The sequence below is a fragment of the Homo sapiens genome, chromosome 19 (genome assembly GCF_000001405.40).
Source record: "Homo sapiens chromosome 19, GRCh38.p14 Primary Assembly".
Classification (NCBI taxonomy): Eukaryota; Metazoa; Chordata; class Mammalia; order Primates; family Hominidae; genus Homo; species Homo sapiens.
This window is the reverse complement of record NC_000019.10, coordinates 17,378,400-17,394,854: the sequence shown is the minus strand read 5'-3', so window position 1 is coordinate 17,394,854 and position 16,455 is coordinate 17,378,400. Positions and strand designations below refer to the sequence as shown.

Sequence of the window (16,455 nt, the reverse complement as noted above, 5' to 3'; positions counted from 1 at the left end):
GACCCTGTCTCAAAAAAACAATCAAACAAAAAAAATTAAAATTAGCCGGGCGCGGGGGCTCACGCCTGTAATCTCAGCACTTTGGGAAGCCGAGGTGGGCAGATCATTTGAGGTCAGGAGTTCGAGACCAGCCTGGCCAACATGGTGAAACCCCGTGTCTACTAAAAATATAAAAATTAGCTGGGCGTGATGGCAGTCGCCTGTAATCCCAGCTACTCAGGAGGCTGAGGCAGGAGAATCGCTTCAACCAGAGACGGAGGTTTCAGTGAGCCAAGATTGTGCCATTGCACTCCAGCTTGGGCGACACAAACACACAAAATTAAGATTAAAAAATATTGGAAACGACATATCCCCAAATGATAGCCAAGCACTTCGTTTGCAGATGCGGTCTTTGGCGCTTCCTACAGATGTGCCAGCTTGATTCCTACCAAGCCCTACCAAGCAGGAGTTAATACTCTCCCCATTTCACAAAGGGGGAAATTGAGGCACAGAGGGCAGCACGTGGGATGCAGGAACCCAGAACCCCTAGTCCTTTCTTGGGCTCGACGGGATGGACCAGCCCCTGGAGGGGGTCCAACCCCTCCCAACGGCCTGGGAAGCCACGGCCAGGCTGGGCGGAACCGTGGGTGTCCCTGGCGCCCCAAGGTGCCAATTAAATATTCGTGGCCGTCTGGGGCCAGAGCTGTGGACCGCGGCATGGCCGAGCCGGGGCCGGAGCCCGGGCGTGCCTGGCGGGTGCTCGCCCTGTGCGGGGTGGCCGTGTTCCTGGCTGCGGCAGCAGCCGGCGGGGCCCTGGTAGCCTGGAATCTGGCCGCCTCGGCTGCTCGGGGACCTCGCTGCCCGGAGCCAGGGGCCAATGCCACGGCGCCGCCCGGGGACCCGCCGCCTGGGGTCGACGACCTGCGGCGCCGGCTGGCAGAGGCTGCCGAGCGGGAGGAGGCCCTAGCCAGGCAGCTGGACCAGGCGGAAAGTATCCGGCACGAGTTGGAGAAGGCATTAAAGGCCTGTGAAGGCCGCCAGGTAGGTGGGCCGGGTAGAGGGGGAGCTCGGGAATCCAGAATGTTGAGATAAGAGACGGCCTGCCCACACAACTCCAGGGTTCCCTCCCTGTGCCTCGGTTTCCCCAGTTCCTCGAATTGAGAGGGTATTGAGAATAGCGCCCTAATGCCTTCCAACCCTTAGATGTCAGCTCACCATGGAGTCTACCTTCTGATCAGAAAGGTGGATCACCTGAGGTCAGGAGTTCGAGACCAGCCTGGCCAATATGGTGAAACCCTGTCTCTACTAAAAATACAAAAATTAGCCTGGCGTGATGGTGAACGCCTGTAATCCCAGCTCCTCAGGAGGCTAACGCGGGAGAATCGCTTGAACCCGGAAGGTGGAGGTTGCAGTGAGCTGAGACCGCGCCACTGCACTCCAGCCTGGGTGACACAGCGAGACTCCATCTGAAAAAAAAAAAAAAAAAAAAAAAAAAAAAAGTCTCACTGTCCTTTGCTATTTGCCAGATAAATGGTGTCTGGAGAAACGCCAGACCACTGGAGGCCCTCCTCCATGTGCCAACTCAGCCCCACTCCAGCCAGTTTCCAGCAGCCCTATTTTGAGAGAGGGACATACATGTCACCTGTAATTAGGAGGCTAAAGTTGGCCTCTTGGGGGAGGTACCTGCTGGGTCCTCCTTTTCCTCTGACTAACCCTTCAGACTTTTTCTTAACCTTTTCCAGCCCTGAGCCTGCCAAAAGAACTGTCCTTAAAATCCCAGCCATTTCCATTTATGGAGTGACTACTGTATACCTCTGTGCACACCCCCCATTCCACCCCAACCTCCCAGCCCAGCCGAGGTAGTGCAGCATCTGAATATTAAAAATCAAAATGGGGCCGGGCGCAGTGGCTCACGCCTGTAATCCTAGCACTTTTGGAAGCCAGGGCGAGTGTATCAGTTGAGGTCAAGAGTTCGAGACCAGCCTGGCCAATGTGGTGAAAACCCGTCTCTACTAAAAATACAAAAATTAGCCAGGTGTGATGGCGCATGCTTGTAATCCCAGGCGGAGGTTGCAGTGAGCTGAGATCCCACCACTGCACTCCCGCCTGGGCGACAGAGCAAGACCCCATCTCAAAATAAATAAATAAATCCAAATAAACCCCTACCCCTTTTCTGCCCCCTGGACCAAGAGAAGGGACTGGGGCAGTCGAGGTTAAGAGGATCCTACTCCAAGTACAGGTTCTGGCTCTGCCCCCTTGCTGTAAGACGCACTGAGGAAGCCGAACCAGTCGTTTTGCAGAATGTCCTACACAGGCAACCGACACATACCCCAAAAATTCAATCATTGTCAACCATCAAATTGCCCTGTGTTGGTTTTTGTTGTTGCTGGGTTTGTTTGTTCTGAGACGGAGTCATGCTCTTTTGTCCAGGCTGGAGTGCAGTGGCACAATAGCTCACTGCAACCTCCACCTCCCAGGTTCAAGCGATTCTCCTGTCTCAGCCTCCTGAGGAGCTGGGATTACAGGCGCCCACCACCACACACTGCTATTTTTTTTTTTTTTTTAAGTAGAGATGGGTTTTCACCATGTTGGCCAGGCTAGTCTCGAACTCCTGGCCTCAAGTGATCCGCCTGCCTCGGTCTCCCAAAGTGCTGAGATTACAGGCGTGAGCCACGACGCCCGGCTAACTTTGTTGGTTTGAAATCCCATCAGCTAGTCCCAGATGGAGCTGAAAGTGGAACTTGAATCTGACCGCAGAGCTCAGCACTCTCCACTTTCTGGTGGCTTAGGGTTGGTGGCGTTGGACCTGGGCAGAGATCTCCCTCCAGGCAGGCAGCTGTCACCACTCGGTGCCCCAGGCTTCAGAAGCCACTTCTGTATTTTACAACTACAAGGCCCCAAAGGACATTCCACACAAAGCTCAGGACACAGGGTCGCAGGTGGCTTCTCACTGTCCCCAAAAGGGCCAGGCCGAATCACTCCTCCTCTCCTCTGCCTACACCCCCTCCCACTTCCCCTCCACTCCTCAGAGCCGGCTTCAGACCCAACTAACGACACTGAAGATTGAGATGGACGAAGCCAAGGCACAGGGGACCCAGATGGGGGCCGAGAACGGGGCGCTGACAGGTGCGTTGGGGTGTAAGGGAGTGGGCAGGGATAGAAGTGGGAGGAGCCTAGGTGAATCCTAGTTATCCAAACAAGCACAGTTGCAAACGTAATGCAAATAACACGGATATAAACGCAAAAACTTATGAAAAGAATGCAAACAACATGCAGAGGCCATGCAAATGTCACAAAAACAAGGCAAATGCCACAAAACATGCAAACTCCTTGTAAACGACTCACGAAAGCAATGCAAACCTATGAAAAGCTATGCAAATGGCACGTGGAAGCCATGCAATGGTACACACTAATTTAATTCAAATAAAGGAAAGCGTGCAAACGGCATGCAGACTATCAACTTGGATTCCGGCGTGCGTGGGGCGGGTGGGCGCGGGAGTCTCCAGCCTGACCCGGCTCCCTGCGCCCCCAGAGGCCCTGGCGCGCTGGGAGGCGGCGGCCACGGAGTCTACGCGGCGGCTGGACGAGGCTCTGCGGCGCGCAGGCGTGGCGGAGGCCGAGGGCGAAGCCTGTGCGGCCCGGGAGGCGGCGCTGCGCGAACGCCTGTGAGTGAGGGGCTGGCCCGAGGGCGGGGTCGGATGGACGGGGAGGGCGCGACCAATGCTTGCGCAGGGCTGCATTCTTTCGGCCAATCATTACTTTGGGCGTGGAATTGTGGTGGGGGGGGGGCATTGTTGATTTAATAGGGGGATCCTGGAATTGGAACCTAAGGATGGAGAAGGGAGTGGACTCTCTTGGGATTCCAGGCTGGGGCGGGCATTCTAGAAACTTAGGTCCCCAGGATCCAGCGTCGGTGGGAGCCCCGAGAGGGACGGGGAACGGAAGAGAAGGGAGCAAGGAAAAGGGAGTATCGAGGGAGAGGCTGGTGGTAGGGGGACAGAGCTTCTGGGGATGTAGCTGGGAGTCTCTAGGGAGGCGTCCCGGGAATGGCTGGGGGTCGAGAACGGATGCCGGATCCTGGGGAGCGGGAAACCCTGGGAGATGGGGATCTCTGGGGATGGAGTTCCCAGCAAAGGGACGCTCTGGCGGATGAGGGCTGGCGATGTCTGGGGACAGGGGTCCAGAGGCTGACAGCCCCCTTCCCCCTTCCCGGCAGTAACGTCCTGGAAGCCGAGATGAGCCCACAGCGCAGAGTGCCCCGGCCGCGTCCCCGCTCGGGGTCCCGACCCCGGCCCAGCCCTCGCTCGCGCTCTCGCTCCGGACCCTCCGGGGGCTGCCGGCGGCCGGCGCGGCGCGCACGAGGGTGAGTCGGCCCCCTGCCGGAAGGGGGCGTCGGCCTGGAGGACACATATGGGGGGGGGGTCTGCGGGGACGTGTATAGAGGCACCCCCACGCTGGATGCGACACTCAGCTTTAGACCCTGGAGACGTCCTGAACGGAAACTGCACAGAAAGGTGCCTCAGCCCTCTCTCCCCCACCATGTAAAGTGCTTATTCTACAGACAGGGAAACTGAGGCCCAAGTGATCATGCAGTGAGCTAGTGCTTAGCTGGGATTTGAAGTCCCCTCTAACAACAATGTTGCCGTCATCCCACAGATATGAGGACTGGAGGTCTAGCCCTGGCTCAGGAAAAACCGGAAAGGGTCACTTTCCCTCTTTGGGTTTCAGTTTACCCTATCTGTAAAATGGGTGATTGGACTCATGATAGGGAGCTGATTTGACAACAAAAGCTGACAAAGGTGGCACAATAGGAAAACCGCAAATCCCTAACCCTGTGAGAAGGGTACAAAACTCCCAGATGGAATTTAAACAAAAAGAACCAAGTAACATGTTTGTTTTGGTTTGGTTTTGAGATGGAGTTTTGCTGTTGTCGCCCAGGCTGGAGTGCAGTGGCACAATTTGGGCTCACTGCAACCTTCACCTCCCAGGTTCAAGCAATTCTCCTGCCTCAGCCTCCCAGGTAGCTGGGATTACAGGCCCCCACCACTACGCCCAGCTGATTTTTGTATTTTTAGTAGAGACGGGGTTACACCATGTTGGCCAGGCTGGTCTCGAACTCCTGAGCTTAGGTGATCCGCCCACCCGGCCTCCCAAAGTGCTGGGATTACAGGTGTGAGCCACCGCTCCCAGCCCATGTTTTTAACCTACACTGCAACAAAGGTGACTTATGCCTGAGACAGAGCAATGGTTCAATATTGCCAAGTCTGTTAATTGCTATACTAATAGATCAAATGAGGAAATGTATAAATTGTGGGGGAAAAAACACATCAAAATCAGTGCCAAGGTGAGGACGTCCACTGTCAAGTAGTTTTTTTTCTGGGAGTACAAGCCAATGCAATTACACAAGAAAAATAAAAGCTACAACTAAAAGGAAGAGAATCTGTAGGTTGAATCACAAGAAAGAGCTGTTTATATGGGTCAAAAATCATTGAAATATGGACAATTTTATATTGCTCAATTTCACATGAATGTATTAGTGGGTTTTCTTGTTTTTCTAACCTTTAAACATTTTTAGCTTGTTATCTAAATTTAACCTTTATATTTGGCATAACTTCAGACTTACAGAAAATTTGGTGGATTAATCTCCAACTCCTTAACAACACAAAGGTTATGGGCACCAGTTCTCCATGCAGTTGAAAATTCACACATAACTTTGACTCCTCCAAACTCAAAGCTGGCCAGGTGTGGTGGCTCACGCCTGTAATCCCAACATTTTGGGAGGCCACAGCAAGAAGATCACTTGAGCCCAGGAGTTCAAGACCAGCCTGGGCACCATAGCAAGAACCTGTCTCTACAAATAATATCAATAATTAGCTGAGCATGGTGACATGCATCTGTAGCCCCAGCTACTTGGGAGGCTGAGGCGGGAGGATCACTTGAGCCCAGGACGTCAAGTTTGCAGTGAGCCATGATCACACCACTGCACTTCAGTCCTCTGAGTGACAGAGCAAGACCCGGTCTCAAAAATTAAACATGAAAAATTAAAGCTATAAAAAAATTATTAAGAAAATCATGCTGGGCACAGTGGTTCATGCCTGTAAGCCCAATACTTTGGGAGGCTAAGGCGGGAGGATCTCTTGAGCCCTGAAGTTCAAGACCAGTCTGGGCAACATAGGGAGACCCTGTCTCTACAAATAATTGTTTCAAAATTCTTTGGGAGGCTGAGGCGGGTGGATCACTTGAGCTCAGGTGTTTGAGACCAGCCTGGGCAACATGGTGAAACCCATTCTCTACCAAAAATACAAAATATTAGCTGGGCATGGTGGCATGCACCTGTGGTCCCATCTACTTCGGAGACTGAGGTGGGAGGATCACTTGAGCCTGGGAGGCAGAGGCTGCAGTGAGCCAAGATCGTGCTAGGGTGACTGGAGCAAAACCCCTTCAAGAAAAGAAAGAAGAGAAAGAAAGAAAAAAGAAAGACAAAAAAGAAAAGAAAGAAAGAGAAGAAAGTAGCCAGGCTTGGTGGCATGCACCTGTGGTCCCAGCTACTTGGGAGGCTGAAGCAGGAAGATCACTTAAGCCCAGGAGGTGGAAGCTGCAGTGAGCCATGATCATGCCACTGCACTCCAGCCTAGGTGACTGAGTGAGATCCTGTCTCAAAAAAAAAAAAAAAAAAAAAAAAGGAAAAAAAGAGCCCGGGGGTGGCTCACGCCTGTAATCCCAGCACTTTGGGAGGCCGAGGCGGGCGGATCACGAGGTCAGGAGATCGAGACCATCCTGGCTAACACGGTGAAACCCTTTCTCTATTAAAAATACAAAAAATTAGCCGGGCATGGTGGTGGGCATCTGTAGTCCCAGCTACTTGGGAGGCTGAGGCGGGAGAATGGCATGAACCTGGGAGGCGGAGCTTGCAGTGATCTGAGATCGCACCACTGCACTCCAGCCTGGGTGACAGAGTGAGACTCTGTCTCAAAAAAAATAAAAATAAATAGAAAAGAAAGACAGAAAAAGAAAAAGTGTCTGTCCATCCACAGTGGAACGCTATGCAACCACCATTTAAACAGCCAAAGCAGATCTTCTCTAAGATATGTTAATGTGAAAAGCAGGAGATTGATAAGTTGTGTACTTTCTTTCTTTCTTTCTTTTTTTTTCTTTTTGAGATAGAGTCTTGCTTTTGTTGCCCAGGCTGGAGTGCAATGGCGCAGTCTCAGCTCACTGCAACCTCCGCCTCTCGGGTTCAAACGATTCTCTTGCCTCAGCCTCGAGTAACTGGAATTACAGGCGCCCATCACCAGACTCAGCTAGTTTTTTGTGTTTTTTAGTAAAGACGGGGTTTCACCATGTTGGCCAGGCTGGTCTCGAATTGCTAACCTCGGGTGATCCACCCTCCTTGGCCTCCCAAAGTGCTGGGATTACAGGCCTGAGCCGCTGTGCCCGGCCCCCGTTTTTGTGTGTGTGTGTGTGTGTAGGGCTTGGGGAGGGGACTTTTATCCAAATATCTCTGAAGGAGATGCTGGTCACAGCCTCCACCTCTGGGGAGCGAACCAGGGGTCTGGGAATCGGTGGGGGACATACTTGCACATTTCTCTATGTACCTTTTGTAAAAATTGCATTTTTAAAAACCATGCACATGTGTCACTTATTACAAATTAAAAATTAAAAATTGTTTTTAAAAATGTCTGGGCTGAGTGTGGTGGTGGCTCGTGTCTATAATCCCAGCACATTGGGAGGCTGAAGCAGGAGGATCACTTGAGCCCAGGAGTTGGAGAACAGCCTGAGCAATGTAAGGAGACCACCATCTTTACAAAAAGTTTAAAAATTAGCCAGGCGTGGTGGTGCGCACCTGTAGTCCCAGCTACTTGGGAGGCTGAGGCAGGAGAATCGCTTGAACCCTGGGGGTAGAGGTTGCAGTAAGCCAAGATCACTCCATTGCACTCCAGCCTGGGCGACAGAGTGAGACCCTGTCTCAAAAACTAAATGAATAGGCTGGGCACGGTGGCTCACACCTGTAATCCCAGCACTTTGGGAGTCCGAGGCAGGTGGATCATCTGAGGTCAAGAGTTCAAGACCAGCCTGGCCAACATGGTGAAACCCCATCTCTACTAAAAATACAAAAATTAGCAGGGCGAGGTGGTGGGCGTCTGTAATCCCAGCTACTTGGGAGGCTGAGGCAGGAGAATCGCTTGAATCTGGGAGGCAGAGGTTGTAGTGAGCCCAGATTGCACCACTGCACTCCAGCCTGGGCAACAGAGCGAGACTCCATTTCAAAAAAATAAATAAGTAAATACAAATAACAATTAGCCGGGCGTGGTGGTGCACACCTGTAGTCCCAGCTACACGGGAGGCTGTGCCAGGAGAATCGCTTGAACCCTGGAGGTGGAGGTTGCAGTGAGCTGAGATCGTAGCCACTGCACTCCAGTCTGGGTGACAGAGTGAGACCTGTTACTCAAAAACTAAGTACATAAAAATAAATTTAAAAAATTCCTAAGAGGCCGGTGTAGAGAGGGGATTGGAAGCTCTTGGAACTCTGACACCACCCCCTTTAGCCAGTCCTGCTCACGATCCTCCCATCCACCTGGGGTTTGTAGGTGCCTGATCAGGACCTTCACCTGAGAGGGGGCTCATCTGGAGGCTCTGCCTATGGGGAAAATGAGGCTGCGGGAAGGGGAGATCTAGCTGTTGTGTTCCGCCAACGGCCACCAGGGGCCGCCCCAGCCAGCAGATCCAGTTGCAGCCTCCTGAGGGCCCAGAGTTTGAGAGTCGGACAGGGTGGGTCTGAGACCACCTCCCCCGGCCCTGGCGTCAATCCAGAAGCCAGCAGGAAACGGTTCCTCCTTCTGGAGTCAGCCAGAGCTGGAAGCCTGGAGACTGGCCTCGCCCCAGCCAGGACCCCAGGGACGCAAGACCCCCTCACCACGGCGCTGTGTGGTCCAAGAACTGGCCCGTGTAAAGGGCAGGGCACAGGGCTGTCCATGGGAACTAAGTCATTGTCACCATTATGCATTTATTTCCACTGCTGGCTCCATCTTGACCATACCCGAGGGACCACTGAACATCAGTTCTGAGCCAGCCGTGGTGGCTCACTCCTGTAATCCCAACACTTTGGGAGGCCAAGGCGCACTGATCACTTGGGATCAGGAGTTCGAGACCAGCCCGGCCAACATGGTGAAACCCCATCTCTACTAAAAATACAAAAAAATAGCTGGGTGTGGTCATGGGCATCTGTAAACCCAGCTATTCCGGAGGCTGAGGCAGGAGAATTGCTTGAACCCGGGAAGCAGAGGTTGCAGTGAGCCGAGATCGCGCCACTGCACTCCAGCCTGAGCGACAGAGCGAGACTCCGTCTCCAAAAAAAAAAAAAATCAGTTCTGGGGATGGAGGGTGATAGGGAGCCATGGCAGATGTGTAAGTAGGAGGGGCACAGGCAGAACTAGTGTCAAAGAATTTTGGGAAGCGGGGAATTTGAGGCTGGAGGCTTTGAACCCCAGGGAAGTCATAAGACAAGAGTCGGTGAGTATTCGAGGTGACTTGAGGAGGGTAGGCTGAGAACTTGGTCTGCACTGAGGCTCCCTGGATGCCCAGAGAGGCAAACAGCACTTCTCAGTGAGACCTGCCTCCCACCCTACAGAGCCAGCCACTGAGCTGTCCTTGTTCTGTCTCCCTGCCTCCACCTGTCTAATGATCCCTCTTGGTCTCTGTTGATCATCTCTCTCTTTCTTTCTTTTTTTTTTGAGATGGAGTTTCGCTCTTTTTGCCTAGGCTAGAGTGCAATGGTGCGATTTTGGCTCACTGCAACCTCCGCCCCCTCAGTTTAAGTGATTCTCCTGCCTCAGCCTCCTGAGTAGCTGGGATTACAGGTGCGCATAACCACAGCCAGCAAATTTTTTTTTTTTTTTTTTTTTTTTTAGTAGAGACAGGATTTCACCATGTTGGCCAGGCTGGTCTTGAACCCCTGACCTCAGGTGATCCACCTGCCTTGGCCTCCCAAAGTGTTGGGATTATGGGCCTGAGCCACCGCACCCAGCCTTTTTTTTTTTTTTTTTTTTTTTTGAGACGGAATCTTGCTCTGTTCCCCAGGCTGGAGTGCAGTGGCGTGATCTCGGCTCACGGCAACCTCCACCTCCCTGGTTCAAATGATTCTCCTGCCTCACCTTCCCAAGTAGCTGGAATTACAGGCACGTGCCACTACACTGGGCTAATTTTTTTTTTTTTTTTTTTTGAGACGGAGTCTCGCTCTGTCGCCAGGCTGGAGTGCAGTGGCGTGGTCTCGGCTCACTGCAACCTCCGCCTCCTGGGTTCAAGTGATTCTCCTGCCTCAGCCTCCCAAGTAGACTCCCAAGGGATTACAGGCACGTGCCACCACACCTAGCTAATTTTTGTATTTTTTTTAGTAGAGATGGGGTTTCGCCATGTTGGCCAGGCTGGTCTTGAACTCCTGACCTCATGATCCGCCCGCCTCGGCCTCCAAGTGCTGGGATTACAGGTGTGAGCCACTGCGCCTGGCCAATATTTTTATTTTTAGTGGAGACAGGGTTTCACCATGTTGGGCCAGGCTGGTTTCGAACTCCTGACCTCAGGTGATTCACCTGCATCGGCCTCCCAAAGTGCTGGGATTACAGGCGTGAGCAACAGCACCCGCCCTCTGCTGGTCATCTCTTTAAGTGTCTTTCTGTCTCTGGTTATCTCTGTCTGTCTACCCCTGTCTCCAGGGCACCATCCTGGGTAATCCCTATCCGTGGCCACACTGGACCTCCCCTCCCATAGCTGGAGGGACAGGGGTAGGGGACAAAAATGGAAAGCCCACAGTGGCCTTGGCAGGAGGGGACATGGGCTAGTTGCAACCTGACCTTTCCAGCCCTCCAGTCACAGGCAAGGAAGTAGGTCCCTGTTTTTCTTTTTATTTATTTATTTATTTATGACACCGAGTTTCACTGTTGTTGCCCAGGCTGGAGTGCAATGGCGCAGTCTCAGCTCACTGCAACCTCCACCTCCCGGGTTTAAGCGATTCTTCTGCCTCAGCCTCCCCAGTGCTGGGATTACAGGCATGCGCCAGGACACTTGGCTAGTTTTGTATTTTTAGTAGAGACGGGGTTTCTCCATGTTGGTCAGGGTGGTCTCAAACTCCTGGCCTCAGGTGATCTGCCTGCCTCAGCCTCCCAAAGTGCTGGGATTACAGGCGTGAGCCACCACGCCCAGCCTAGGTCCCTGTTTTTCAGCAGGGAACACAGAGTCCCAGAGAGCACAGGTTTCCCCCACCCCACAGAGGGACTCTCTTCGCTGCCTCCGTCACCTCCAAAAGCACAAAACTTAACTTCACTTCGATTAACCAAAAACCAAACTCACAGACATAAAAGTGGAGGGTTGGCCCGGTGCAGTGGCTAATGCCTGTAATCCCAGCATTTTGGGAGGCTGAGTTAGGAGGATCACTTGAGGTCAGGAGTTCAAGACCAGTCTGTCCAATATGGTGAAACCCAGTCTCTATTAAAAATATAACAATTAGCCGGGGGTGGTAGTGTGTACCTGTAGTCCCATCTACTTAGGAGGCTGAGCCAGAATTGCTCTAACCTGGGAGACAGAGGTTGCAGTGAGCCGAAATGGCGCCACTGCACTCCAGCCTGGGCGACAGAGCGAGACTCCGTCTCAAAAAAAACAAAAAAAGAAAAAGAAAAAAAAAAGCCAGGCGCAGGGGCTCACGCCTGTAATCCTAGCACTTTGGGAGGCCGAGGTGGGTGGATCACGAGGTCAGGAGATCGAGACCATCCTGGCTAACACGGTGAAACCCCATCTCTACTAAAGGCACAAAAAATTAGCCTGTAGTCCCCAGCTACTCTAGAGGCTGAAGCAGGAGAATGGCATGAACCCGGAAGGAGGCGGAGCTTGCAGTGAGCCAAGATCGTGCCACTGCACTCCAGCCTGGGCAACAGCGCAACACTCCGTCTCAAAAAAAAAAAAACAAAATAGTGGAAGGTTTTCTGAACTTCACTGAAATCCTTCTTCACCAGAAATATCACTTCCTCAAGGACCTTCCTGAAGTTCTGAGTGATTTTGTTTTTTTTTAACTCGTGTCTCCATGAGGACTTCAGTGTCAGTTTTCAGGGAGTGACACAGAGTTGACTTCCTCATGACAGTTTTTCCTTCTCCACTCAAACAAACAAATGAAACCAAATCAATTGTTTTCTGTTTAGAAAAACAAAAGGGTTTAAAAAGCAAGCCTGATTTTCTGATGCCCCTCCAAGGGAATTTGAAGGGATTCATGTGCAAAATTTCCTGTGAACATGACAAATTGTTTTCAGGAAAAAACCCAACACTCACATCAGGGCTGATGCATTTGACTTCATGTAGATTCTTGATCAGGCACTCACATTCTCCCTCCAGATTTTTCTGGCCAAGGACACAAACAGAACATTTTCATAAAGTCCATGTTTGGAGATTTCAGACATCGCAGGCAAAGATGTCAATGAAAACAACCTCTTTGAAGGACAAATTGGTGACAACTATCAAAATGTAAAAATGTGCCCACTTTGAGACCCAGTAATTTCATTCATTTCTGGAAATTTGATTTTCTTTCTTTCTTTCTTTCTTTCTTTCTTTCTTTTTTTTTTTTTTTTTTTTTTTGAGACCGGGTCTCACTCTGTCACCCAGGCTGGAGTGCAGTGGTGTGATCTCGGCTCACTGCAACCTGTGCCTCCTGGATTCAAGCAATTCTCTGCCTCAGCCTCCCAAGTAGCTGGGACTACCACACCCGGCTAATTTTTGTATTTTTTGAAGAGATGGGATTTCAACATGTTGCCCAGGCTGGTCTCAAACTCCTGGACTCAAGTGATCCGCCTGCCTTGGCTTTCCAAAGTGCTTTGGATTACAGATGTGAGCCACCGCACCCAGCCAGGAAATTTGATTTTAAATCTTCTTTTATTTATTGAAAAACTAACTCAGAAAAAATCTAAGTGTCCATTCATAATTTTATGGTACTGTATCTGGTGAAAACCTAAACAGCCAGCCATAGGAGTCAATGAATCTCAAAGACATAATACTGTGCAAAAAGAGGAAGGTCTATCTTTACCTTTTTTTTTTTTTTTTTTTTTGAGATGGAGTCTCACTCTGTAGCCCAGGCTAGAGTGCAGTGGCACGATCTGGGCTCACTGCAACCTCCACCTCCCAGGTTCAAGCAATTCTTCTGCCTCAGCCTCCCGTGTAGCTGGGAGTACTGGCATCCGCCACCATATCTAGCTAATTTTTGTATTTTTAGTAGAGATGGGGTTTCACCATATTGGCCAGGCTGGTCTCGAACTCCTGACCTCGTGATCTACCCGCCTCGACCTCCCAAAGTGCTGGGATTACAGGTGTGAGCCACGACCCCCAGCCTACCCTTTTTGCTAAAAAAAAAAAAAAAAAAAAAAAAAAAAAAAAAAAAAAAAAAATCAGGCCTGGCGTGGTGGCTCACGCCTGTAATCCCAGCAATTTGGGAGGATGAGGTGGGTGGATCACCTGTGGTCAGGAGTTCGACACCAGCCTGGCCAACATGGCGAAAGCCCATCTGTACTAAAAAATACCAAAAAAAAAAAAAAAATTAGCTAGGCATGGTGGTGTGCACCTGTAATCCCAGCTACTCAGGAGGCTGAGGCAGGAGAATCACTTGAACCCAGAGGTGGAGGTTGCAGTGAGCCAAGATCATGCCATTGCATGCCAGCCTGGACGACAAGAGAAAACTCTGCCTCAAAACAAACAAACAAAAAGTTACAAAGTTAAATCAGCTAATATAACAAATGATCCAAAACAGAAACATTACAAATTAAAGGTGTGAGATCAAATTAGAAAAGGACACCAAATATTGTTTTTGGGCTTGATACAAATAACATTGGTATGTATATTTAAAACTCTGCTTCTCACATGGTGACAACTGTTCAAAATTGTGGCACATCAGTACCATCAGGTCCGGGGGGCTTTTTGTTTTCTGGGAGTTTGAGGTTGCCTTTATTTTTCCTTGTCAACTGGTATCACATTCATACATACATAGATGCAACATCTTCTATATACAATGAAGAACAGCCAAGATCTTAAGTGTACACCAAGACCCACATCTACTGGCATTGGCCCAGACACTGCACCCAGCCTCAGCTCCTCTGCTGGACCCTGGTCACCCACACTTCATCCCCATCATGCTCTCCTTTCCCCAGTGCTCTCACAGGCCTGGGGCACCGGCAGCTGGGAATACTGCCCCTCCCCTATGTCTGAGTTCCTCAGCCTGACATCAGAGGCCAGGCATGATCCAGCCCTCACATCTTAAAAAATGCCATCATTGCCCGGTGCGGTGGTTCATTCTGTAATCTCAGCACTTTGGGAGTCCAAGGCAGGTGGATCACCTGAGGTCAGGAGTTTGTGACCAGCCTGGTCAACATGGTGGAACCCCGTCTCTACTAAAAATACAAAAATTAGCTGAGCAGTAGTGCTGCACATCTGTAATCCCAGCTACTTGGGAGGCTGAGGCAGGAGAATTGCTTGAACTCTGGAGGCAGAGGTTGCAGTGAGCCGAGATCGCACCACTGCACTCCATCCTGAGCAATAGAGCAAGACTCTGTCTCAAAAAAAAAAGGCCATCATTTATTAAGACTGAGTATGTTCCAGGCATGACGTCAAGTACTTCAAAACTGGCTATGTTGTTGGCCAGGTGAGGTAGCTCACGCCTGTAATCCGAGCACTTTGGGAGGCCGACGCAGGCGGATCACGAGGTCAGGAGTTTGAGACCAGCCTGGTGAAACCCTGTCTCTACTAAAAATACAAAAAATTAGCCAGGCATGCTGGCGCGTGCCTGTAGTCCCAGCTACTCAGGAGGCTGAGGCAGGAGAATCCCTTGAACCCAGGAGGCAGAGGCTGTGGTGAGCCAAGATAGTGCCACTGCACTCCAGCCTGGGGAACAGTGCCAGACTCCATCTCAAAAAAAAAAAAAAAAAACAAAAAAAAAAAACAAAAAAAACTGGCTATGTTGTCTTCACTTGATTTTTGTTTTGTTTTTGTTTTTTGGGTTTTTTTTTTTTTAGAACAGGGTCTTGAACTTGTGGGCTCCAACGATTCTCCCACCTCTGCCTCCCTAACTGCTGGGATTACAGGTGTGAGCCACTGCACCTGGCTATCTCCACTTCGGACAGGAGAAAACTGAGGCCCAGGGAGGGAAAGTCACTTCTCCAAGGCCACAAAGCTGGTAGGTGGCACAGTCAGAACTCAACTCCAGAACTCTAAACTGTAATGCTGGGTTCACTCAGACTACATTGCCCCCATTACGGAGGATGTTCTCCTCCTGCCCAGCTCTGGGGGGCTCTGGGTGGGTCTGGCCAACCCAGAGAAATGGCTGGTTGGGCACCCGTGGCAGCCCCCAGCCCTCCTTCCCCCACTAGCAGCCGCCGACGACGCCGCTGGGAAGGGTCCGGAATCAGGATCAGGAACCACCGGGTAGCTGCAAAGGTCAAAGGTCAGACATGGGTTTCCTGCCCACCCCTGGGAACTTCCTTCTTCTCAACTCTACACTCGCCTCACTGAGCACCACCCTGGAGTACCCCTCCGCTCTGTCAACGACCCCTCCCCACTCTGTTACCCTGGCTAATGGGGGGACGGGTCCCCACGCCCCAGCCTTCACATTGCCCTACAGAGGACAGCAATTGCATGATTGTCACCTGTCCGGAGTCCAGCCTCCTTTCCGGCTCCCTGCTCCTGTTCCTCCAGCCCACCCTGACTCCACAGGGTGGGGGGTACCTGTCCCAGTCTGTCTCCCAAGACTGGGAGTTGCTTGTGGCTGAGGTTGGGACTGACACCTCTTGGGGGGCCCTGGCATCACCCAGCATGGAGCAAACAAAGAAGGGACTCCAGGGAGGGTTTCCCTGGAGCTCCTGATCCTGGGAGATAGGCAGGACACACAGAATCCTTTGCTTCCGGGTCCCCAAATCCCCTCCAGGCCCAACTGGGGGGTGACCCACAGCGACCCCAGAAAACTCCCGTGGTTTTTTTGGTTTGTTTGTTTTTGTTTTTGAGACAGAGTTTCTCTCTTATCTCCCAGGATGGAGTGCAGTGGCCCGATCTCGCTTCACTGCAACCTCCGCCTCCCGGGTTCAAGTGGTTCTCCTGCCTCAGCTTCCCAAGCAGCTGGGATTACAGGTGCTCGCCACCACACACGGCTAATTTTTGTATTTTTAGTGGAGATGGGGTTTCACCATATTGGCCAGGCTGGTCTCGCACTCCTGACCTCAGGTGATCCGCCTGCCTCAGCCTCACAAAGTGCTGAGATTACAGGTGTGAGCCACTATGCCCGGCCGCCCATGGGGTTTTGAGTGTCGGGGGAGGAATCTCAGTCCCACGTATCCACCACTTGTCATTCACCATCTCACGGAGCCCCCAGCAGTGCCTCCAGCAGGAAATGATCCTAATCATAACAACAGCCACAGAGTGACGAGGCACTGGGTATACCCCGTCTCACAAAGGGGAAAAGGG

General features: G+C 51.4%; 1 protein-coding gene and 1 long non-coding RNA gene across 3 annotated transcripts, besides 3 other annotated features; both read left to right on the top strand.

The window, feature by feature from the left end:
- The first annotated feature begins 658 nt into the window (after positions 1-658).
- CCDC194 (coiled-coil domain containing 194) lies at positions 659-7,659 on the top strand. Of its 2 annotated transcripts, NM_001395221.1 has the most exons (5): positions 659-1,020; positions 3,009-3,105; positions 3,512-3,644; positions 4,196-4,342; positions 5,597-7,659. In NM_001395221.1, exons 1-5 carry the CDS (start codon positions 697-699, stop codon positions 5,619-5,621), a joined length of 726 nt encoding a protein of 241 aa, NP_001382150.1. In that variant the 5' UTR covers positions 659-696; the 3' UTR covers positions 5,622-7,659. The 2 variants fall into 2 exon arrangements, with proteins under 2 accessions (NP_001382150.1, NP_001382151.1); NM_001395222.1 differs by having other exon boundaries at positions 4,196-7,659.
- Positions 3,336-3,525: a silencer, noted in NCBI's record as "silent region_10342". NCBI's record gives its function as "represses an Ori minimal core promoter by ATAC-STARR-seq in GM12878 lymphoblastoid cells {active_cell/tissue: GM12878}" and the evidence as "EXISTENCE:reporter gene assay evidence [ECO:0000049][PMID:35858748]".
- Positions 3,536-3,775: a silencer, noted in NCBI's record as "silent region_10341". NCBI's record gives its function as "represses an Ori minimal core promoter by ATAC-STARR-seq in GM12878 lymphoblastoid cells {active_cell/tissue: GM12878}" and the evidence as "EXISTENCE:reporter gene assay evidence [ECO:0000049][PMID:35858748]".
- Positions 14,807-15,695: an enhancer, noted in NCBI's record as "H3K4me1 hESC enhancer chr19:17489969-17490857 (GRCh37/hg19 assembly coordinates)". NCBI's record gives its function as "activates a minimal SCP1, AML or CMV promoter by ChIP-STARR-seq in naive H9 embryonic stem cells {active_cell/tissue: H9 hESC(naive)}" and the evidence as "EXISTENCE:reporter gene assay evidence [ECO:0000049][PMID:30033119]".
- On the top strand, positions 15,083-16,065 carry LOC105372298 (uncharacterized). Its single transcript, XR_936362.3, has 3 exons — positions 15,083-15,175; positions 15,369-15,442; positions 16,025-16,065. It is a non-coding gene; the product is annotated as an uncharacterized LOC105372298 (long non-coding RNA).
- Positions 16,066-16,455: the final 390 nt, after the last annotated feature.

Excerpts from the sequence above, each read along its gene's own strand:
- CCDC194 (NM_001395221.1), top strand. The coding sequence starts at position 697 with ATGGCCGAGCCGGGGCCGGAGCCCGGGCGTGCCTGGCGGGTGCTCGCC. Across the intron at positions 1,021-3,008 it reads AGGCCTGTGAAGGCCGCCAG|AGCCGGCTTCAGACCCAACT; the intron begins GTAGGTGGGCCG and ends TCCACTCCTCAG. Across the intron at positions 3,106-3,511 it reads CGAGAACGGGGCGCTGACAG|AGGCCCTGGCGCGCTGGGAG; the intron begins GTGCGTTGGGGT and ends CTGCGCCCCCAG.